Here is a 25,236-nt window from a genome sequence, read left to right as displayed (position 1 = left end):
CATCTCAGAAATGAGGACAGGAACAGGGTCCATCTGCTTCACAGGACTGCTGTGTGCATTAAGTGAGAAGATCCACACAACAGGACTGCCGCTAAGCAGGCAAACTGGTGAGTGGAGATCAGCATGAGGGTTGACGAGCTCAGCAGACGAGCTGCAGGCCTGCAAACTCATCTCTGGACTGCCATCTCCCGCTGCTGGGCACGTAGCCATCCTCTTGGTGGTTCTCACCAAGGTGCCTTCCTCCTACAGGCCCCAGGACTTTAAGAAGCAGAGGCTGTGCTGGGGAGTGGGAGCAGAAGGTCCCAGATTCCTGCCCCAAACTTGCTTTTTGGGGATACCAACCTGTAAACCCAAACCCATTTACTTATTTGCTCCATCTCTTAGAGATGTTTTTTGTAAAAATAACAAATACTTTAGGTTTTCTGGGTCAAAAGGCGCAAATCTAAAATATTGAATAGGTGTTTTCTATAAGAAGAGAATAAATATTTCCAAAAATATTTTCCAAAAAAATCTTAATTGATGAAATTCAAGGATAACAATAGAGTACAATTTTCTGGTAACGCCGGTCTACCAATAAGAATTGGAAATCTTTTGGGGGAATAACATTTCCCTAATTGAGATTCAGAGCTAGTGTTGTGAATCGTCAAAACCAATTGCATATTTGCATATATTTATCTGTTAATGCTGATTTGGAATGAGATGTGACACAGTTCATCTTTGAACATGTCTTCACACAGATAGGTACCTTCCCAACACTACTATGTCCATGAGCATTTTTTTTTTTTTTTTGAGACAGGGTCTTGCTCTGTCACCCAGGCTGGAGAGCAGTGGTGTGACCTCAGCTCACTGCAACCTCTGCCTCCCAGGCTCGGATGATGCTCCCACCTCCATCTCCCAAGTAGCTGGGACCACAGGCATGTGCCACCAAGCGAGGCTAATTTTTGTACTTTTTTTTTTTTTGTAGAGACAGGGTTTCACCATGTTGCCCAGGCTGGTCTTGAACTCCTAGGCTGAAGTGATCCTCCCATTTCAGACCCCCAAAGTGCTGGGATTACAAGTGTGAGCCACTGCACCCAGCTCATGAGCATAAGATGTTTAGCTTAGCATATTTATTACATAAAACACATTTATACATTTTTATAAGATTCTATTAGACTCTATTAAATTTTTCTTTAGATAGTTGCCTTTCAACACATTAATCACTTCTCAAATGCAGATCAATGGATTCTGAAATATAAAAATTTCTTTTGGGTTTGCATTGAGGTCCCTAACACACTGCTCAAACTGTAGTTTGGGCTCAGATAATGTATCTGTGGCAAATGTGTGTGGGAATGGAGCTCTTCTTTTTTTAACTTTTAACAACATGGGAAGAGCTTAAAGCAGTAACATTAGTTGTGATTCAAACAATAGTTCTTCTTGAAATCACTTAACACAGTAGGAGTTTCACATAAACACTGTTTTTATCTTGTGGTTTAGGCTGAATTCCTTAAGAAACACTATCAAGTCTGCAGCAAAAGTGAATTTCCAAAACTATTCAGTGTTTAGTAACGGTGGTTCGGGGCAGTTCTCATTCAGAAAAATTTCAATCTTTGTCCTGAGCTCAAAACTTAAATGAAACTTTACCACTACTAAACCATTGAACTGCTGTATTACAGGCCATGTCGGGATATTCAGCTAATATTTCTGACAAAAATTCATGAGAGCTGTTGATAGTGAAGTCCACAAGAGCTAAAGGAAGTTCACTATTGACAATACTGGTTCAATAATGCATGATAGATTCAAATATTTCTCACAAAGTATCTGTTGACTTAAATAATACAATGAATAATCTATAGGCTTTAACACCTTATATTATTACAAGCTTTGTAAGTTGTCCAACTGAGCCATTTTCTATTCCACACTGATATGAGTTAGCTGTGTCCCCACCCAAATCTCATTGAATTGTAGCCCCCATAATCCCCACGTGTCATGGGTAGGACCCAGTGGGAGGTAACTGAATCATGGAGGCAGGATTTTACCATGCTGTTCTCATAATAGTGAGTAAGTCTCATGAGATCTGATGGTTTTATAAAGGGCAGTTCCCCTGCACACACTCTCTTGCTTGCCGCCACCTAAGACTTGCCTTGGCTTCTCCTTTACCTTCCACAACGATTGTGAGGCCTCCCCAACCATGCGGGACTGTGAGTCCATTAAACCTCTTTTTCTTTATAAATTACCCAGTCTCAGGCTTTTCTTTATAGCAGTATGAAAATGGACTAATACACACATATATTTCCACTACCAACAGTCATAACACATCTTAGCAGATTCCACTTCAGGGTGTACTGAATTCGTTTTCTCAACTTTTTGTTTTGAGACAATGTTCTCACTCTGTCATCCAGGCTGGAGTACAGTGGTGCAATCTCAGCTCACTGCAACCTCCACCTCCTGGGTTCAAGCGATTCTCCTGCCTCAGCCTCCTGAGTAGCTGGAATTACCAGTGCATGCCATCATGCCCGGCTAATTTTTGTACTTTTAGTAGAGATGTAGTTTCACCATGTTGGCCAGGCAGGTCTCAAACTCCTGACCTCAGGTGATCTGCCCACCTTGGCCTCCCAAAGTGTTGGGACTATAGGCATGAGCCGCCACACCTGACCAGTTTTCTCAGCTTTGAAAATACTTTTGCCAGTAGTTGTTCCACATAAGACTATTGATAGAGGCCAATTCTTCAGTTACTTCCAACTTGGTACTGGCTCCTCAAATAAAGAGCAATAGCGGAGCAGTGTGCATAACATATGGTGACCCCTGTCATGAGAGTCAGGGGAAACCACTCAAAACCATTTGCCTTTTTAGTCGACTACTGATGTCATTCCTAATGTCAACTCTTTGAGCAACTGTTGTCGTGGAAAGGCCAATAAACAAGTTTACTTTCTCTGAGCATGTTTCTTCAGCTGCAGTAATCAAGCATGATTTAATTAATTCACCATAAGTGACTTTCCTTGCTTGGCTAACAAATGAGCCATCTGAAACTTACTTTGGTTGTAGCTTCATTTTCATTTTTTATTTTTGTGAATAAATTCTGTGATGAGATATTCAATTTTAAATTTTCTAATTTTTCTGACCATTGCTTTCTTGTGAATTAGAAATATCTTGATGAGTGCTAAGATGGGAAGTAACAACATGTATTTTGGTTTTTTTTTACTTTTTGTGGAGATGGGGGGTCTCACTATACCACCCAAGCTGGTCTCCAAATCCTGGGTTCAAGTGATTCTCCCACCTCAGCCACCCAAATCGTTGGGATTACAGGCATGAGCCACTGCACCTGGTTGTATTGTGTTCCTTAGGACAGCTACCATGTCATTGCACTTTGCTGCCTAATTCAGTAACAATTCATACTCCATTGTACCTTAAAAGCACAATGATATTTGAAATCCACTTTTCTTGTATATATTGGTAATAAAAAATAAAATGTTGTAGCATGGGAATACAAGTGGCATTCAAAATGCTGCTGAGTTATAACTGTGTCACTGCAATTTACATTGCACAGAGCGGCAGGGCAAAATGATGAGAATGCCACATATTCTCATCATACGGTCTCTGCAGCAACTACTCAATTCTGCCACAGTAGCACCAAAGTGGCCGTGGACAACTTGCAAATGAATGTGGTTATGTTCCAATAAAACTTCATTTATGGACACTGAAATTCAAATGTCATATAATTTCCCTATGTCCTGAAATATCATTTGATGTTTTTCAGCCATGTAAAATGTGAAAATCACCCTTAGTTTGGTGAGCCATACAAAAACAGGAGGGTACCTTGCTGATGCCTAATCTGCAATGGGCAGGAAACAGAAGCCAAAGTCGTCCCTGCTCTTCCAGAGCTCTCCTGTTCCTGAACAGCCGATAGCCCTGGAAGGATGTGATAACAGCAGCAGGAAAGCAGGTTGATGCTTCAGGGAGACAAAAACTAAAGCTTCCCTCATAGTCATTAGAACATAATGAATCTCTCTTATTTTTTCTTCCATTTACAACCCTACTTCCACCTTTGTTCAGGGTCCTGGAGAGCCTCCCAGCTTCTTTTAATCCCGGGGCATAATCCTGGGGCCCCCTCTCACAAAGAAAGGGGCCTAAACGAAAATTCATCAGCTGTGTGCAGTGGCTCCTGCCCGTAATGGGAGGCTGAGGCAGAAGGATCGCTTGAGCCCAGGGGTTCAAGACCAGCATGGGCAAAAAAGTGCGACCTCAACTCTACAAAATATAAAATAATTTAGCCAGGCACAGTGGCATGCGCCTGTGGTCCCAGCTACTTGGGAGGCTGAGGCAGGAGGATCGCCTGAGTCCCAGAGGTGGAGGCTGCAGTAAGCAGAGATCATACCACTGCACTGCAGCCTGGGCAACACAGCAAGACCCTATCCCTAAAAAATAATACTAAGAATTGATGAAGACTAATCTATGAAGACTAACATGTGGGAGAAGCAAGAGGGGACTGTGGAAGCCACATGGGGAAGCACACACTGTGGAGCGTCACCCAGCAGTGTCCCAGCACCCTGGAGCTGCTGCTGCTGCAGACAGCCTGAACCAGCAGTGGGGAAAGCGGAAGCAGAGCAGGAACTGTGGATCCTGGAAACAAGAAGGGGAGAAAATGACCTTGGGAACAGAGAAATGGGCAAAGAGCAGGCTTTTGAGAAGGAAGGAGGAAGCAGCATTGCATCACTCAGACTTGATTCTTCAGAGCTTCCTGGAAGTGATTCTAGTTTCACAATTAAACGAGACGATTGTCGGAGAGAAACCTGTTCAACATCTCCAAATTCATGGACGGTTTTGCCAAAATAAAAATTTTGTAGGCACCAGTGTGGTTCATTAGGACAATACAGGCATCCTTCACTACATTTTCCCTAGCCCTAAGCCTAGTGTCTACATTAATTGATATTAAATTAGTCTCGCCCCTAACCCTGCTTCTAGTGGTCACAGCAGCTACAGGGACCATCCAGCTGAAGGTCTTGGTATGTGATCTCGAAAGTCAAGGTCAGCGTGGAGAACTGGAAAGAGGCCTGACTAGAAGACAGACTGTCGCTGGTCAGTTGTGTCATCTTCTGCAAGTTGCTTAAACCTGTTAAGTTTTCTCACTCTAAAGTGAGGTGTTGGGGCAGTGTCTCTGACTTTGAATGTGCATGAATGACCTGGGGACCTTGTTCAAATGCAGATTCTCATCCAGTGGTCTGGGCTGGGGCCTGAGATTTTGCATTGCTAGCAAGCACCCAGGTGATGCTAATGTCGTCAGCCCACTGACTACACTGGGCAGCAAGGGGCTGGACAATCTTCTATCCCTTGATAGATCTAAAAACCATCCTAGGGCTGAGGAAGCTGCAATGATGTTAATTTTTAGAACATACAAGATTCTCTTATTTACGTATCCTAGGCTGTCCTCCCAACTCCCTCTAGGTCATCCCCTTCGCCATCAGTTGCCTATATGAGAATGACCAGAAATTGGCCATTCCCAGGCCCGACTTTCCCCTCCTCCATCCATTCTTTCAGATGCCTACCGGACATCTCCACAACGTTCTCCTACAAGCCCTTAGCACTCAAAGTCCTCAAACTCTGGGAGGAAGCCTGACTCCTCTCTTTTCACCCCTACTCCCAGCATCCATTCAGTCCCCGAGGTCTGTCAGCTCTCCTTCCTAAATAGCTCTCGACTCTGTCCACTTATAAACTGATGCTGGCAAGCCTCCTCACCTTCGAATGGCCTGTTGTCTTCTCCTAGATTCTAGGGCATTCCCACCAGGATAACACCCATTCCTCCATTAGGTATCAGCTAGAACTTCAGTTCCTTGGGAATACAGCACTTCACAGCCTCTCTGGATTAGAATAAGGTCTCTGTTCACACTCTTTTAAAAACACTGGGCTTACTTGTAATTACTTATCTTTCCCACTTATAACAACAAAATGTGACATGCTTTTTGTCCTCATCCCTAAGACCTAGCTAAGTGCTTTGCACATGACTGGTGTTCAATTAATATTTGTTGATTTCTCTTATATAGTTCTCACACCAGCTGTCCCAAGACCGTTTGCTGGTAAGACATTCTTCTTCTTCAGGGTAGGACTTTTTGTTCATTTTTAAATTGTTTCCAGGGTTAGTACTGATTGTTTTCTTTGATTCAGAGTGTCTCTGCAGGGAGTAGGGGAGATATTTCAAGTTCACTGTTTTAATTTTGCCAGTAAAAGGAAATTTACCGTTTTGCTTCTTGCATCTAGTCACTGCTAGCCGCCCCCACTTCTAGTGAAGATGGTCAGAACTCTAATACGCAAACAAAACCGAGCTGGGGAGAAAGACCACAATTAGTGAATACGCACGTGGGAGCCCTCCCTGGACAAGCTCCTCATCTGAATTCTTCAAGACTACAGAAGATGTTAAGTAGCTGTCATTACATAATCAGTGGGAGATGCCTTCAGAAACATCCGCCTACAGAAAGAGGTAGCCCGTCTCTCCAGCACCCACATTCCTGGGCGAGGGTGACACTCCAGTCAGAAGGTAAGAATCCCATGTAAGCGCTCTGTGAAGAGCAAACCACCACTCAATTGGAATACAGTAGCAGTCCTGGAGGAATCCAGGACTCCAAGCGCACTGAGCCCTGTAGATCTCACCCAGCGGTGAGCGCTGGAGCCCCTGCTGGGAGGACCCATCGTGCCAAAGGCCTCTGAGCGCAGAGCTGCCCAGACTGGCCAGGGACAAGACCTGGAGCTGCTGGGAAGCACAAAAGCTCATCCAATTTACTTCTCCCAGAAATATCTTATCTACCTGAAGTGAACAGTTAAATCCCATGATTAGGTCCCTTGTTTCAGCTTCATCATCCATCCAAATCCACGGCCCATTGTAATGCAAATCATGTATAGTCTAATGCAAACAAACAGACTTTTATCCTAAGACATTTTTGTCCTTATATTTGATACAAGGAGAGGATGATACTTTAGGAATAACAGGCTAATACTGAGAGAACCCAGGCTCGATGTAGTCACCTAATATTATCAACAAAGTCAACAGAATAAAGAAGAAGAAAAAAGCAGCAATTATTTCCTTACTGCTTTCAAAATGTGGGTTACAACCTATTACATTTCAAAAGCTTCCCCGATAATATCCCTGTTTTATTTATAAACTTAAGAGCTGATTTCTGTCACCCTCATCTCTTCCTATCTACATCAAACCTCTGAAGGCTAAAAATGTAACAGACTTTCCTTGGAGTGGGAGCAAAGGGTGGGGACTGGCCCCTGGATGCGTGATCACAAGGGTCTAATGACCATGCCTGTTCAAAAACAGACCCTTACCACAGTTATTCCTCCAGGCAGTCTCCCTGAGGTTGTACAGAGAAATTCTACTGAAAACCCATCCTTATAAAACATTTAAATATCATATAGTTTATCAAGGCAAAGCAAACTACCGAAAAACTCCCTCACACCTGTAATCCCAGCACTTTGGGAGGCCAAGGCAGATGGATCACAAGGTCAGGAGACTGAGACCATCCTGCCTAACATGGTGAAACCCCATCTCTACTAAAAATACACAAAAAAAATTAGCCGGGCGTGGTGGCGGGCGCCAGTAGTCCCAGCTACTCTGGAGGCTGAGGCAGGCGAATGGCGTGAACCCAGGAGGCGGAGCTTGCAGTGAGCCGAGATCGCGCCACTGCACTCCAGCCTGGGCGACAGAGCGAGACTCCGCCTCAAAAAAAAAAAAAAAAAAAAAAACTTCCCACAACAAACCTCAAAACTCTTAAATAGATGCAGGGACTGTGCGGTATGCAAAACCAACTAGTAAAGGAATGTTAACACCTAGTCCCAGACTCCAAAAATAAAAGTCAGCTGGAAAGCAATGCTGTTTAGCCCTCCACGGAGAACACTGTCCACCTCATTTCCCTGCATTGTTTGCTGTATTTACGTAGAAAAAGAAGTTCCATTCAGGCTGTGGACTCCGCTGTTTAGCCGCATATTATATTTATCGGACACTTTCTACATACTAGGCATTGTGCTTTCTGCGGACATTACCTCACTGAGGCATGCACAGCATCTCCTAAGTGGACACTATAGGTATCTCCATTGTACAAAGCGGACAGTAATCCTTGCGCAAGTTGAGCAGCGTACCCAGGGTCACGAAGCCAATGAGAGGAGCAGTGGGATCTGAACCTCTTTGGGATTCTAGAGAGGGAAACTGTAACTACTATACAGAGCTGGTGGCTGGTGCCCTGGGAAACCCTTCACCGGCTTACAAGACCAGATGAGACTGAGATATAAAGGAACTAATTCCATTCCCACTGTTGGGAAATAACATGTGCCATTCTCATGGGACATCTGAGAGCTATTAATGAATAGGATGTTACACTGACCCATCTCCACAAGGGAAGACAACAAAAAGGAACAAACTGTGTAAGTTTTATATACTTACATCTGGCAATTTCTGCCTTTCCCGGAGGCTTGTTTATAACATTTTGTAATGCACCATAAATTGAAAATTTTAATTATCCATTACTCTATGTAAACTTTGGTAATCAAACTCCATTTCAAGATGTTCTTGGGGCTGGGTGAAGTAGCTCACGCCTGTAATCCCAGCACTTTGGGAGGCCGAGGCAGGTGGATAGCTTGAAGTCGGGAGTTCAAGACCAGCCTGGCCAACATTGCGAAACCCCCTCTCTATCAAAAATACTATTAGCTGGGTGTGGTGGTGTGCACCTGTAATCCCAGCTACTTGAAAGGCTGAGGCACGAGAATCGCTTGAATCTGGGAAATGGAGGTTGCAGTGAGCCGAGATCACACCCCTGCACACCAACCTGGGAGACAAAGCAAGACTGTCTCCAAAAAAAAAAAAAAAAAAAGTCCTTGGATTCAGACTTCCGTCATATTAGCCACACGCCTCTTCTTGCCAGAGTCCTGCCTGGCTGCAGGTTCAGAATGGCCCGCAAAGTTTCAGAAAACAGAGCTCCAGGCCCCACCCCAACTCTGAATCTAAAATCCTGCTAGTGTGATGGTCATCCGTGGTTTTATAAAGTTCTACAGATGAGTTTAGTGTGCAGCAAGGCTGGACAGTCATTTTAAATTGATGAGTACCGATTGAGCAGTTTGCGATCACTAGAGTTCATTAGTCATTTCTTTCCTGGATTTGCGGGCAATGGAAGTGGGAGTGGTGCCTGAAGTGAGCTCCTCCCCACCTCGTGGCATCACCTCTTCAGCAGAACAAGGCTTGTCTGTGATGTACATAAAAACGCTCTTTCTCATGCTATTTCACTGCATTCCGCTTTTCCGCTTTAAATCTTTACAGACGTGAGCCACCACGCCCAGCCTATTTATGTTTGAGAGGCCCAGGCTGGAGGATCACTTGAGGCCAGCAGTTTGAGGAGCGCCTGAGCAACTCAGCAAAACCCCGTATTAAAAACAGCCAGGCATGGTGGTGTGCACAGGTAGTCCCAGCTACTTGGGAGGCTGAGATGGGAGGATCACCTAGCCCAGTTGTTTAAGGCTGCAGTGAGCTGCAATCACACCACCAAACTCCAGCTTGCGTGACAAAGCCAGACACCGTCTCTAAAATTAAAGAAGTAACATTAAAAAAAACTTAGCCGTTTCATGCCACTAGAGGTATTTTCTTTCATTTCAGAGGGAGTTAACAAACCCCACCCCAGCAGTGCCCTTCTCTGCAGTCTTTCTGTCCAACAGTGAGTGGATGATGATTCCAAATTCATCCTCCCAGGGTCTCTTTTAAGCAACTCAACACTTTCTGCTGGCCACACTCAGGCTCAGGCCCGTCCTCTTGCCTGGGTGTTCATTAACAACTCCCTGCCCGGCACACCTGCTTGGCTGCTTCCTGGCCACCCTAGTGCAGAACTACCACACACACCCAGTGCCTGCCACTTTATTTTGCCCTTGGCTCTGAATCTCCCGTGACTGCAGTTTCAGATATGGAATTCAGGGGCAAGTACACTGACTAATGAATGAGTATATAATGGAAGCAAAACTTTACAAGAATAAAGAAAAAAATTCCCAAAGTAGCAATTTTAGAAATTTAATCGGGAAGATTATCAAATAGCTGGTCTTTCAGACAGATGAAACATTAAGCACTTATACCTACACGGCCTTTCTCTAGCTATGAGAACTCGGCCAACCACACCCATGCCAGCATCGCCCGGCCTCCCATGCGAACAGAGCTGGGCTCCACTTGTCTTGTCCACTTGTTTCCTCTGTCCTGCATCATGAACTTTTGCCACCACTTTGCCTGACCCAAACTTAATGCACTTTATTAATAGTCAACATGACTCAGGCTCTAGTACTGTGCTCCTTCAGGACCCAGCTGGGACTGAACCAGGCTACCTGGTAAAAGCGAAGGGAAGCCGGTTTAAGACTTGTCTCTGCCTCCTCTATGCTTTGAAGAAGGATTCACAGGTTTTGCTGGGGATGACAGGAAATTCAACTGAAATGGAAATTTACCCACATTAATTCCACACCTGATAACAGGGACATACCCTAAAGATGGGAAATTATGGGGAAAAATTTTCAGGTACAGCAGCTGCATACTGGAAGAGAGACCTGTAGCATTCTAGTTGTGTTTCAAATCAGCGTCCAGTTGGAGAAACACTTTGTCTCCTAAGATTTAAAGTAGGAAATTAGAAATAAATACTGACAAATACCTGACAGTCTCAGTGTTAAGGTAGTGTTATTTTTTTTAAAGTTCTGATGCAAGAACACCCACTGAGAGCAGCCAAAATCTGGGACCTTGGCTATGCATAATGCCAAAGAGAGCCAAACACACCAAGCGATGAGCCACTTACCTCAATGAACATGTCTTCCACAAAACAAGCATCCAGTGCCTTCAACACAGGCATACGTCAAAAATTCCTGGTCCAGGGTGAAAGCCCAGTAGGCATCCACAGGCTGGTTCTCAGTGGATTCATTTGGATTAAGGTTAGTCATTAAAAGGGAGGATAACAAATAAGCTATCTTCTTAGGGTTTCTTCTCTTGTTCTTTGTACTACAAATTACTTGGTGATGTATGTTTTCACGCAAGGAAACAGGCCTAGATAAGAAACCAGGGTTATGAAAATCAGAACTTCTCCTCTACTCTCCCTGACACCAAAGGTTTTCCAACGTCTGGTCAACAGACATCCCTAGCAGATTTTTAAGAAATCTGAATGAAGTCTGGGTATACCGAAGTCACGCACGGCTTTTGTCCCCATTACATTTTCAAACTTCCTTCATATATAGCAGTAAGACCAAGTCATGTATTTGGAATGAACCATCTGGTCTATTACATACAGTCTACCACTATAAAAATGGACATAAAAATGAGTCTTGAACTTGTATTCTGTCTATGGGGATACCACCCAGAATGCACCGGATCGCATCTGAACCTGCATTCTGCGACTATCAAAATAAAGGCAGGCCCAAAGGAAACTGAGAAACTGGCCTAGAACTGAGTGCCTGCTATCTCGTCTTCGTGTGTATTTTGATTATGTATCTCCCTATTGGAAGAACAGAAAAGTTCAACACCACAAAAGCTGGGAAGCAGTACAGGGGCAAACTCAATGGTCACTTGTGAGCCTAACATAATTACTGAATCTTTCATGATTTTTTACATGTAGTTTTAAATAAAAATGTCGGTTTTTTTTTTTCAGCCCAATATCCATGTGCCTAGGTAAAATTCTCACACCCTAAGAAGAAAACTAATGGAAGTTTTCCTTTCTTACATGTGGTTAACTTCAACTTTACGCAACCAACCTTAATTTTACAGATTCACGCTTAACTTTTAAATAAGCATCTTGCCTCTCGAAAGCCACCTTAATATATACTGAAGCAGGTGAATTTGTAAAAAGAGAAGACTTTAGGTTAGCAATTGAATCACAGTGGCAAGAATTCTAGAATTCTGATATGGCCCCGTACGAGGAGTTAGGGAAGGAAGAATGAGTATTCGTATTCCTTCCTTCATCCAAGCACGTCAAAGCATATCAGAGAAAACCATCAGACCCTCACATCCAGTCGAAATGCTACCAACTAAAATATGAGCATTTTGAATCACAAAATTATGTAAACATTCAAATAAAAAAATCAATGTGAAAAATCAAAATGATCTGTTAAACCTCCAATTTTTACTTTCAGAGATTGCTGATGCCTATGTCAATGTATCTCAAATAGTTTCCTTTTTACACATTTAACTCAACTTTGATACTATACCTACCAGACCTGGACCAGTTTAATTGCATAGGAAGATTTTTACTATGTTTACATTTTTCTTAAATTAATTTTTAAAAAAGCATAGTAAAGAGTCTGAGGACAAATTATTCAACTGTTTATCATACATAAGACCGCATGACTATAATACAAAGGGGGGTTCTTTTTTCATTTAACGTTACAATATACACAGCAAGTCCGGACTAGATCTTACAATCTGAACACAGGTATTTAACCTTTTCCATGCTGTTTATGTTTACAATGCACAGAAGTCCTGTAACCAAACTGTGTAGTAAAGCACACAAAACTGGACTGTAACATAACACAGTATGCAGAAGCATTGGATTTTATGATTTTCTTTACGTAAATATCGGTTTAAAAACTGCTTTAGTTTTTTGGTGCTTGCTAAGATGTGGCAACCAGCACAGAAAAAAAAAATGACCTGACCCATATGATATCTTAACCTTATATTCCTAAACAGCAGTAACTACTGAATTCCTTTTGATATTGCTATACTCAAGATGATATCCTTTTATTCACTGTAAACCTTTATGAACTACCAAGTTCAAAAAAATCATCCACAGGCTTGACAGTTAATTACAAAATAAATATGGATTTCCTGATAAACAACAAAAAGTTTTTGTAGTTTATAAAAACGAGTATTTCCAAGTTTCCATTCACATTTACATAGTGTTTAGCCTTTCTTTTCTCACTGTTTACATATAAAAACCTGCTTTTGTTCAGAAAAAAAATTGACCTAGTCAGCCACATGGAATTGACCAATAGAATGAAACGCGGTGTTCTGCTGAGTCATCTTAAACAGGTTATCGGCAGAGGTAGATTACTGCTTCTTTTCTAGGCTTCTTTTGATCCTGGACAGGTAAATTACTTATCTTCATTCTCCCAATTCAACCGCTCAAAAGTGTCACACCCCAAAATTGGTCAATTTAAAATGGGAACACAAATTTAGCAACTGCCAGACTGTGTTACATTAAGGCAGCGTAATCTCAACACGAGGCACCTGTTAAATACCAGCCTGTCTGCTCAGGTCACGCATGAGAGTTCTGCTTTGCTTGCACTCATACTCTGGACCTGTTGGTGCAATCAAGGTCTTGCTTTCAAGTTTACAAGTAGGTTAATCAGGAATACAAGAATCAACTGCTGGTTCCATAGCTTCTGGATCCAGTGTCCCTTTACCTTCAGAAGCCTGAACACACTTAGAATGTAACAGATGTTGTAATCTTGAATTAGATGTCAATCTACTATGTTCAGTACACAGATTGCTGTAAATGTATTGGCTATGGATTCAACAACAGTTCCAGTTTTGTTTAAGCAATAGTACAGCCATAATTTTCAACTGACATTTAAAAATGGTCTAGTTACACCTTGTGTCAAAGTGCAGAACTGCTACATTATTGGTTACAGACATCTATGTGCTATAAAAACAGCTTTGGTACAATAAATTATCAAAAAAGAAAATAAATTTTTGTAAAATTCACAGCATAATTGTGAGGCAAAAAAGCAGTCACATAAAATTCTGCATTTTTTAAAAATGTTCAGGATGAACAGAAGACATCTTTGTGCAGAAGAAATGGTGGAGATACCACGTGCCGAGAAAAAGCAAAAGAAAAAGTAAAAAGCAGGAAGGGACACAGCTGTAGCTATTTCCATCAAAGCAAACCACTACTTCTGTGACCTTCAACCAATAAGGAAGTCAACTTTATGACACACGCAAAGTGACCTTGCAATACCTTACAATTAGTGGGTCACAAAAGTCTATTTTAAAAGAAAGGCCTCTTGAATTACCCATTCTCTGTGTTTTCAGCATTAAGGACTGTCTGCAAAAGCATGTCCAAAAGTGATTGCATCTGAAATGGTAGGCTCTTCTAATTTCGAGTCCAAATCCATAAGGCCAAAGGTTATCCCAAAGACCACCACTCAGACCTCCCCAGGACTGGCCACGACCGACCCGTTGATTGCTTCTCAGTGCACCTTGGTTAGGAGACCAGTCACGTTCCATCCTATCTTCCTGTGGCCTCTGCAACGGGAGAGCCACAGGATCCCATGTAATTGCTGCTTTGCTCCTCAGTAGGTTCAGATAGGAGAGTTCTGATCCCCGCCACTCAGCATGCTTACTGTGCCTGACAAACTTCACCACAACCGTCCCTTTCATACAGCTGAAGATGGTGTTTGTGGAAGCTGGAGGTCCCTCTTCCTTACAGTACTGCATTTCCGTGCCCAAGTGTGTTTAGAGGACTTAAAAACCCAAATTTCCCACCCTCCCACCCAAAACAAAACAGAACAAAACAAAAAAAAAGGGGGATGGGGGGGACAAAAAGAAAAAAAAAAAACACCCTCATGGGGCCCTTTATGCAAATTATGTGCAGTGCCTTTTACTTTAAAATTAGTTGGCAAATGACCAAGACCAACATCTGAATATTAACTTTTGCTGAATAGAAAGACAAAAAAACCCCACTGTGACTGGGATGTGGCAAGTTAAAATGGGGGAGCAAAAAGAGGATACCTCTGAGCTATCCATGAAGATGGGTTTGGACATGGCTCTTTTAAACACTTCAATGTCCCTTTGCAATCTTTTCAAGTTAAAAAAAAAATCAGCTTTGCCCTCTTGTAGCGGTTCAGTGTGTTAATCTCCTCCTGATTCAAGCAGCTTTGCACTTTGTTTTTGGAAAAAAAACACCACTTCTATAAAAACACACAAGAAACAAACTCAAGTTTCAATGTAGTCACGAGCTAGCTACAGGACTCTGTTGCACACAAACTCCTGTCATGGGGGACTCTTCTCTATCAGCCCCTTGCCTCATTGTCAGATGTCCTTCAGTCATGTAATGTGCAGGACCTGTATTAGCAGAAAATTGGTATGTTGGATGTCCAGCTATGCCAGTCTCTTGGCGGGGATTGGAGTAGACGGTCAAATTAACGTCCATAGCTCCATTCTGTCCAAAGTCCAAGGTATTAGCAGCCACTGGGCGATTCTGGTAGGCCTGATTGCCTTGGTTACCAGTAGAGGAGGAAGATGTCGAGGAAGAAGTCGTTGAGGAAGACAGGGATGTCATGGAGTGGTGACTGTGGCCAACCTCCATAGAATCTTGGGTAGAGGAGCTATTCGTTGGAGAATTGTAGACCCTTGGCCTGGTCCGGTTACCCAAGGCTTGTTGTCCATGGTGGTGGTGATGGTGGTGGTGGTGGTGATGGTGATGGGAACTGTTACCATGGTGATGATGCAATGCATTCTGTTGAGGGGCTACATGAAAGGTTGTTTCTTGAACAGGATGAGTTTCAACAGTGACCTGTGTAGGAGCTTCAGTGCCTGACCAACCAAGAGGAGCAGGAAATTGCTGACGCACCTGAAAGAACAGATTTTTAAAAGGATTTTTCAGAGGACTGTTTCCAAGCTTTAATCTTCCATCAAAAGCCATGACACTAACAAACTAGCATCATATTAATCAGGGGGAAACGGTTTTTGAAACTTTTAATGTGTTAAGACAGTTTTATAACACAAAATCCCAAATACATTCAAGGGCAAAAAATTTCATCATGAAAGCTGCAATTTTTAGGAAGTTATATCCTTAAATAGGTTCATCTATTTCACTAGCCACTGTCCTTCCTTGGGAGCCCTGTTTATGCCAGGGGTCAGCAAATATTTCCTGAAAAGGGCTGGACAGTATTCTGGGCAGGTCCAAAAGGAAGTCTTTACTTTTCCCTCATGTCCTTCCTCTCTCCATCTTTCTTCTTTCAATAAAGGACTACTATCTACCTAGCTGCTCAACAATGCCTCTGTCCAACCCATGAGCAAGAACTTATGAGTCTACCTGTGAAACAGATTCCAAATTTGGCCTCTTCTCTTCATCCCCATCATCTCTTGCCTACGCTAACACAACAGCCCCTTAAATGAACTCCTTGTTTCCATCCTTGCCCTTCTCCAAAGGGTAGCAGGAACAATCTTTTCTTAACACAAATCCAATCACTTCCCTATTTAAAATCCTTTAATGACTTCTCACTGCACTTAGAAAAACAAAATAAACCCAAATGGATACAACGATCTGCATCATCTGGCCAATGCCCACTTCTCTAACCTCTTTCTCCACCCATCCTATCCCTGGCTACCTGAGTTCCAAACAAAGAAGACCTGCCTTCCATTCCTCCCCTGGGTCAAAATCTCTCAAATGCCTCAGTGTACTAGTAACACGCTGCTCCCTTCTGCCTAGAAATGTTATTTCTTGGATTTTCTTATTGCTTGGATGTCTCTTTTTCATCGCTTCAGTTCCAGAGCCTTCCCTGACCACTCTGGCTGATGCTGCCTCAACAACTGTGGCAGAAGCTACTGGTTGTGCACAATATTCTTCTCGTTCCTGAGCACATGGCTACACAACACTTCCCAGCCTCCCTTGTACTTACTGATGGCCATATGTCTAAGCTGTCAATGGAATGTGAATGAAAGCTTGTGTCACTGCTAGCCTGGCACACAAGATAATACCTCCCAAGTCCTTCTGCCTGCTGGACACAGTAGACAAGTAGGCCCTAGGGCAAGGTGGAACCACAAGATGGTAGGAGATCAGGACCTGGAAGACGGCCTAGCCACTAACCTGAACACCTATTCTGGACTGTTGCACAAAAATGAAGGAAACTTGGTACTCTTTAAGCTACCATATTTTGGGGGTCTGTTATATCAGAGTTTGGCCTATTCTAATTAATACATCCTATCCAACAAACAGTCTTTCTCTACCAAATTATCCTTATTTTCTTTTTAACAGCTAATGCTACTTGCCATTTTTCTTCATGTTCATTTTATTTACTTGTGTCACTGTAAGCTCTAGGAAGGCAAAAGGCTCAGTCTCTATCCAGTGGCTGGCACAAATTGTTAAGGGTTTATTCAACAAAGGTGGTCTGAGAACCAAACTTTTAAGAGATACTACTGAAAACAATCAGTAGAAAAGCTGGCAGTGAGTTCTCAGAAAATACTATATGGTTTTTATATGAAGTTAATCAAGTTACTGGATTAGAAAATCACATGGGGGGCAATCTGGCAATAGTTATCAAAATTATAAATCACATTACCCTTTGAAACAGTCATTCTGCTTTCAGGAATTTATATCACAGATAAAATGTCTATGTGTGAATGAGACATGTACAGTGGTGCCTCCTTATCCACAAGAGATACAGTCCAAGATCCCCACTGGATGCCTGAAACTGCAGAGGACTAAACCCTCTATATACTATGTTTTTTGATCTGATAATCTAGATGGCTACAAAGCAAAGTAACTTATCTACTGTGTGGACATGCTAGACGAAGGGATGAGTCATGCCCAGGGTGGGACAGCATGAGATTTCATCGTGCTACTCATAACAGAATTTAAAACTTACGAATTGCTTCTGAAATTTTCCACTTTATATTTTTGGACCGTGACTGACTGAATAACTGGAACTGTGGATAAGAAGGGACACTACCGTACAGGGTTATTTATTAAACTACCATTTGTAAATAGTAAAAAAGGTTGGAAATGAACTAAATGTCCATTAATAAATAGGGGACCGGTGGCCAAGACGGCTCACATCGGTAATCCCAGCAGTTTGGAAGGCTGAGGTGGGAGGATCACTTCAGCCCAGGAGTTCAAGACCAGCCTGAGAAACATAGTGAGACCTCACTGCAGGGTGTGCTGGGACACAATCATAGGCCTAGTTACTCAGGAGGCTGGGGTGGGAGGATCACTTGAGCCCAGGTGCTCAAGGCTGCAGTGAGCTGTGATGACACGAGTGCACTCCAGCCTGGGCTAAAGAGCAAGACCCTAGCTCTAAAAATAAATTTAAAAATGAATAAACAAACAATAGGGGAATGGTGAAAAGACTTATGGAATATCTAAACAACGGGATACTGTGCAAATAAATAAAAGAATGAAAAAGCTCTCTATTTACTGATATACAGAAAGTGCTCCAAAATATATGTCAAGACTAGAAAAACCAAGATGTTCTGAAAGCGTTTGCCTGGTATGGTACTATTTGTGTACAAAGGGTGGATGAAGAATATGTATTTGTATTTGCTTGAATATGTATAAAATATCTCAAAAAGTATACAAAAAACTAATAAACTAATAACACTGGTTTAGAAATTGAGGGGCTAGAAGGCATGGAAGGAAGGAAAACCTTTCGCTGAATTCCCTTTTATATTTACTTATTTTTAAAACCATGTGACTATATCAACCACTCAAAAATTAAGTAACAAAAAAGGATTTGAAGCAAAATCTTGACCTCTGTGAAATCCAGGTGGGAAGAACGCGGTGTCTTATGCTACTCTTGTATGTGTTTGCGGTATGGAATAGATCTGGAAGAAAGAAAGGGAAGAAGACAAGACAGGCGGATGGTCTAAAGATTTAGAGAGAGCCCCTGGGAGTAGTGATACTTAAGACCTGAAGCATAAATAGTAGTTACCAAAACAAAAGGAGGAGGAAAAGAGTGTTCCAGGCTGAGAGCACAGGAAATGTAAGAAAAGTAAGAGAGAATGTGGCATATTACACAAAGTGAAAAATGAATTAGTGTGACTAGGGTGAGTGAAGAGGAGAAAGAATGGCCTCGGTGGGGACCAGATCCTGGAAAGCACCGACGCCTTGATAATAAGTCTACATTTCACTTCAGGTAGAAGGGCAAGTCAAAACTGGTTTAAAGTAAGGAAAACAGGCCAGGTGCAGTGGCTCATGCCTGTAATCCCCACACTTTGGGAGGCCGAGATGGCCAGATAACCTGAGGTCGGGAGTTCATGACCAGCCTGGCCAACGTGGCAAAACCCCGTCTCTACTACAAATACAAAAATTAGCCAGCATGGTGATGTGCGTCTGTAATCCCAGCTACTCAGGAGGCTGAGGCAGGAGACTCGCTTGAACCAGGGAGGCGGAAGTTGCAATGAGCAGAGATTGTTCCATTCCACCCCAGCCTGGGCGACAGAGCAAGACTCCGTCTCAGCAGGGGAGAAAAAAAGTAGGGAAAATAGCAAGAACAGACCACTTTAGTGAAAGCTCACTTGGCTGCAGGGAAGAGAATGGTGCTGACAGGTGAATGGAATGAGACACTCCATTCTAATAAGACAAGTCATAACAATGAGGTAAAGTGAAAGGTGGAGAATAAAAACGTATTAAGATGTGGTGAATCCAGATAATTTACTGTCTGATTCAGTGTGGGGAAAGAGGGAGAGAGGAGTGCCCCCAAATTTACAACTTGAGCAAATGGGTAAATTTAGGGCCATTTTTACAAAGAATGGCAAAAGTAGAAGCGTTGGGAAGGAAGTGAAAATGATGACTTCAGTTTATGTGCTGTGTGTGCACATATTGTTGAGACTTTCAAGGTGACATTTATAGTAAACAATTAGAAAGGCCCCAGGGGTTCAGAAGTGAAGTCTAAGTCAGAAGTCAAGACTTAGGAGCAACTAGCATGAGGATGGTGACTGCAGGCCCTGGCAGGTGTGGCTGAAATCATCCAGGAAACATTAAGCGGAGTAGGGAAGGGACACAGGTCATGCCTCGAGGAACACCCAGGTTTCAGTGCTGGGTAGAAGAAAAAAAACGAAACAGACAGTGAAGGAAAGGGCAAAGAAAAGGGGTGGGGGGAGGGAAAGAAGAACATCCTGCCAAGGAAACCAGCAGTGAGTGTTTCAAAGAGTGGGGAAAAGTCAACACTGCCAAATGAAGTTGTAGAATGCAGAAAGACAGCATTAGGGTGTCCACTGGACCCATGAATAAAGGTCACCGCTGACACCGGCAGGAGAGTTGGAGGGCAGGACCTAAGTGGAACAAGCAAAGAGGTCTTCAGGGTAAAGAGACAAAGACCACAGGTAGCAGAAGTATAGGGAAAGAAAGGGGGACACGCAAAGGTGCTGCTTAAGATGGGAGAGGCCTGAGGATGAGGAAATGCTGATCAACAGAAAAAGCCAAAAGAGGAGAGAGTGAAGACACCGGAGCTGAGGGAGACCAAAGGGCAAAGCCCCCATGATGGCAGGAGAGAGGGGATCAGGGCAATGAGTGGGCTTGGCCTTAGGCAGAAAGAAACACACTGCTTCTAACAAAAAAGGGGTAGAGGAGAAGTGGACAGTGCACACATAGGCAGGATCATGTATTCAATGTTACAAAGTGGAGAGAGTTCCTGTCTGAAGACTCTTTTCCTTACAAAGCAAAGAGTGGGTAAGAACAGAGAAGGGGAGGGCAAAGGTTTCTAAGAGTAGAAAAGTTTGAAACTATTATTAAAGAGAATAGGAGAGGATGGGACAACTTGGAAAACATGTAAGACTGCCCAGCAGAGGTTGGTGAGTATTAACAGTGCTGACAAACAGCTGCATGTGGGATTTTCTCCAGCACCATTCAGCTGCCCTAGTCACAAGAATGGAGAGCACTCTTAATCAACAGCAGTTTACTCATCCATCAAATACTACACTGGCCTCTCACCTTCAAACACCATCACGCAAAACTCGGTATGAACCAACTTACAACTTTATTAGATTATTTAAATATTTTTACCATCACCATCTGCTTCACTCCAATTTTGAAAAAGTACTTAATTAGATCCTCTTCAACAGGTTTAAAAACAGAAAACAAACAAAACAACAACAAAAAGGCTAAAATCAAATCAGAAATTGATTCAGAATCCAGGACTATAAATGCTAAAAAATCATGGGAGGAAGCAGAGTCGAGTCATTCAGATCATGACCCAGGGAAATTTACTTAGCCCATGAAGTCTCAGTTTCCACTGTAAAATGGGAATCAAAAAAGCATGAGGCTCAAAACGCTGCTTTGGTAAATGAGATAAACACAGGAAAAAAACTGTTCAAAACAACAACTGTTATGCCCCCAATAAGTGTTAGCCACTTCTAGACAAGGAGGAGGAAAACTGCAAGAATGTGCTTCTCTATGATAAATACTTACATTTCCTTAGACAGGAACGTCATGAACCTCTAGGGTAAATGATACGGTCATTCTAAAGGCACCTGGCATCCAGTGCTGCTCCACCTGAGAATGGCAGGTGACACAAGCAAATGAACCACGTGCGAGCTCACCTGGGGACTGTGTGTCTCGCAGTCCATGGCCTGCACGGCAGCTGTGAAGTGCCCACCACTGTGCCGATGCTGGTGCGTCGGATCCGACCGGGCTCTCCCACTGTTGCTTGTCCCCGATGAGCCACCTGAAATATCACAACACAAAACAATACAACTGTGAGTTTAAAATTCATTTTGTTCAAATTTATACTCTGAAGCTATACCATTAAAACTGAAAGTACTCACACACACACATACAAAATCTCTAATATTAACTTGAAAGTATATCACAAAGTCTTCATATTCTCTGACTAAAACCAGGTTCTCTCTCGTCCACCACTTAACTAAAATACAATGAAGTCTGGTTAAGGTAGGGGAAAACTCAAGCAATGTGGACAAAAATTCCATTTAAGAAGTAATTTAAAATGCTGGTTAGTAAACAGATTTCCAACTGCCAAGCAGATTTTATTACATGCGTAACTAAATATTGGAGCTTTGGGGGAGATGAATTTACTACTAACTACAAAGAACAGATTTAAGTAAAGTAACTGCTCCCCACTCTATTAACAAATTTAATCAACACTTTAAAATAATCCCACTTCATAAAGAAAACACAAAACATTCCCAAGCCTAATCTAACCGCAGCAGCACAGACCTGAGCTTGACGATGTACTGGAGGTGGTGCCCGAAGACTGAGACTGCTCCATGGCGGGGCTTGTAGATACACTATTACTTGTATTTGTACCTTCATCAGCTGTTTTCTTGAAGAAACTGTGCTGCAGAGCATAATAAGGTTGAATTCGAGTTTTGGGGTCATAATCAAGCATCCTTAAAATGAGGTCTTTGAACTTCAAGTAGTCAGCGACCGTATGACCTGACTCCCCAGCACGTCGCCCACCAGGTCCTCCTGTTTCCACTCCAAGAATGTTATGAAGTTTACGGGTTCCTGGTGGTTTGTACTCCTGTAAGAGAGAAGATGAAAGGCTTTCTCTAAATTTGGTGGAATACGTAAACACTCACATAATTGAATTTCAAATATGTTTAAATATATATGTTGAGGCCTTTATTAAAAAGGACACTTCATAGTTAAATCCTCTGCCTTTTCACACATTACTATCCCAAATGCATGGTAGTTACAGTTCAACATTAATTCTGAGACCAAAAATGGCTATAAAGATCATTTAGCCCAGGGGTCAGTAAACTATGGCCTGATCCAGAGCCTGGTTTTCTACAGCTCCAGCTACAAATGGTTTTTCTGTTTTCAAAGGTTGTAAAAACAAGCAACCAAAAACAAAAAATATGCAACAGAGGTCCACAAGGCTAAAAGCATTTTCTCTCATCTTTTACAGAGAACATGCATGCCCCTGCTCACCCTGGCTGGGAGCCTCTTTCCTACCTAACTGTGCACCCGCAGCACCTGTTACACTTCCTTCAGCAACAGCAGCCCAAGAAAGCTATGGCAATGACACCAAGGATGTTCTACATAAAAAGGCACTGGCCTAACCCTACCTGCTCATGGTAGAAAAAGAGAAAATTATGTATGCTTCCCTTTAGAAAATCTATGTAATAATAAACTAACGTGTGTTGAGATTTCCTGAAAACTCATTTTTGACAGATAATACTATAACCCTCAAGATCTCTATAAATATTGAATTTAAGAATAGCATCACCAGACTTTGACTTCTGTTACAATGCAGAAATGTGTGAGATGATTGTTCCTCCTCTAATAAGTCATAAAATCACTGCCTTTTAAAGACCCATCAGAGAGCTGTATGAGGATCCAAAGTTGGAACAAAAATCTCCTGAATTCTACAAAATGAAAAGCCTCTCCTGGAAGAGACCTGCAGTGGGAGAAGGCGCAAGTAAGCCACAGATGAGCGAGAAGACTCCAGCCCAAGTCTGAACCAACTTCTGACGGCCAGGAGTGGACAGACAGAAGGATGGGGCAGTACAGCAGGAGGAAGGCGATCTCCCAGGCACAGAGAGTTAGGAGTGGGGCTGCTGACTGGGCAGTAATGTATAGAGACCACTAGATTTTCCCTGATTCTAAAGACACAAACACTGCTGAAGGGAATGTCCTGATCCCAGCTCAAAACATATGAAAACAGTGGGGAGTAGAATCTAAGTCAAACAAGCAAAGCCCAGAGTCAGCTAAGCTACAAAAGAGATCAACTCAGCCCCACATGAGGGGCCTGACAGAGTTGAGAGGCCTCTTTCTGAGGGAAAATATGACTCACTTCCATCTTTAACTGTTCTTAAGCAAAGAAAATTTGTCACACATTTAAAAATTACAAACATTTTTTAAAAATGACGTCCACAATCACATGAAAGAAAAAAACCCAATAGAAGATACACATAAATAAATGGTGCAGATGTTGAAAATAGCAGACTGGAACTTTAAAATAATTATGATAAATTACTTCTGATAAATTATGATAAACAATTTAGTTCAAAAGTGGACAACATATGAATAGATGTAGAATTTCAGAAGAGAAAAACTATATTTAAAACAAAATAGAAATGCTAGAACTAAAAAATATAGGCTGGGCTCATGTCTCTACACCCAGGTTGAGGTGGGAAGACTGCTTGAGTCCAGGAGTTCAAGACCAGCCAAGGCAACATAGCCAGACCCCGTTCCTACAAAAAATTTTAATAGCTGGGTATGGTGGTTGCACCACTCCTGTAGTCCGAGCTTCTTGGGAGGCTGAGGTAGAAGAACTGCTTGAGCCAAGGAAGTCAAGGCTGTAATCAGCCATGATCACACCATTGCACTCTAGCCTGGGTGACAGAGTGAGAACCTGTCTCAAAAATAACAATAACATCACATGAATCCATTTAATGGATTCAACAACAGACTGGACTCAGCACAAGGAAAAAAAAGAAATCAGTGAACAAGAAGACAGAAAAAGAAATTATCCAAATTAAAAACACAAACAGAAAACAGAATGAATAAACCAGACAGAGACCTCTGGGATAATATTCAGCACTGTAACATACACATCACTGGAGAACTAGAAGAAAGACGAAAGCAGAACAAATATTTGGCAAGACTGTATCTGAGGATTTTCAAAAACTGATGATAGAGATCAACCCACAGATCCAAGAAACTCAGTGAACTCCCAGGAGAAAAAATACAAAGAAAATCATACCTAGGTAAATAGTCAAACTGCGGAAATCAAACAAAGAGAAAATATTAAAATCAGCCAGAGGGAAGAGGGGGAAAATATTATATGCAGGGGAACAATGCTAAGAATAACCACTGACTTCTCTACCGAAACAGTGTAATCCAGAAAAAAAGTCAATACATCTTTAAGCTATATCGTAACATCTTTTTCTTTCACTGAAAGAAAGAAGTTAATCTATAATTCTATATTCACTGAAAATATCTTCCAAAAAATAAAGGTAAACAAGTATTTTCAGATCAACACCTGCTGAGAGAATTTATCGGGATAGCTTATTCATTACAAAATAAAAGTTAAAGGAAGGTCTTGAGGCTGAAGAAATAATACCAGATGGAAGCTAGGAATTGCAAAAAGGAATGAATAACACCAGAAAAGAGCAAATATAAGGATAAATATAAAAGATCTATTATCCTTATTTTATGTCTTTTTAAATTTCTTTTTTGTGTTAAATCTATTTTTTATTTAAACAGCCAACAATGTGTTGTGAGGTTTATAACATGCAAAAGTAATACAACAAGTGCACAAGAGGTAGATAGAATCACATGGTTATCACACTGTTTAACAAGCAATATATTATTATTTGAAGGTAAACTAATGTTAAACGTGCATATTATAAAAGGAACACTAAACATGACACATAGAGGAATAAGTAAAAAAATCAGTACAAGAGATAAAATAAAATGCCAAAAAGTATTCAACAAACCTCCCCGCAAAAGGCAGGAAAGAAGGAATAGGAAACAAAGAACAGGAAAGACAAACAGAACACAAATAAGACAAGTCTTAAACCCAAAACTCTGAATAATGGGTTAACCACTAACAGACTAGATTAAAAAAACGACTTGATCA

General features: G+C 42.0%; 1 protein-coding gene and 1 long non-coding RNA gene across 8 annotated transcripts in view, besides 1 other annotated feature; both read right to left on the bottom strand.

Annotated features, from left to right (window-relative positions):
- The window catches only part of KCNJ6-AS1 (KCNJ6 antisense RNA 1), a 222,067-nt gene extending 213,250 nt beyond the window's left edge, over nt 1-8,817 (bottom strand). The window contains exon 1 of the long non-coding RNA NR_183540.1: nt 8,411-8,817. This is a non-coding gene — a long non-coding RNA (KCNJ6 antisense RNA 1). The remainder of the gene's footprint in view (nt 1-8,410) is intronic.
- Nucleotides 1,095-25,236, bottom strand: part of DYRK1A (dual specificity tyrosine phosphorylation regulated kinase 1A) — a 160,786-nt gene continuing 136,644 nt past the window's right edge. For 4 of the 7 annotated variants that reach the window (NM_001396.5, NM_001347722.2, NM_001347721.2 and 1 more), the window contains 3 exons: nt 21,864-22,170; nt 21,230-21,354; nt 1,095-15,542 (listed from right to left, as the gene is read on the bottom strand). In NM_001396.5, coding sequence (NP_001387.2) covers nt 14,922-15,542; nt 21,230-21,354; nt 21,864-22,170 — 1,053 coding nt within the window. In that variant the 3' untranslated portion in view covers nt 1,095-14,921. Of the gene's footprint in view, nt 15,543-21,098; nt 21,355-21,863; nt 22,171-25,236 lie in introns of all 7 variants that reach the window. The other 3 variants (NM_101395.2, NM_130436.2, NM_130438.2) reach the window with 3 other exon arrangements.
- Nucleotides 19,617-19,806: an enhancer, noted in NCBI's record as "active region_18451". NCBI's record gives its function as "activates an Ori minimal core promoter by ATAC-STARR-seq in GM12878 lymphoblastoid cells {active_cell/tissue: GM12878}" and the evidence as "EXISTENCE:reporter gene assay evidence [ECO:0000049][PMID:35858748]".

Source organism: Homo sapiens, chromosome 21 (genome assembly GCF_000001405.40).
Source record: "Homo sapiens chromosome 21, GRCh38.p14 Primary Assembly".
Lineage (NCBI taxonomy): Eukaryota > Metazoa > Chordata > Mammalia > Primates > Hominidae > Homo > Homo sapiens.
Note: the sequence above shows the minus strand (reverse complement) of the source record. Positions and strands in the feature narration are given on the sequence as shown.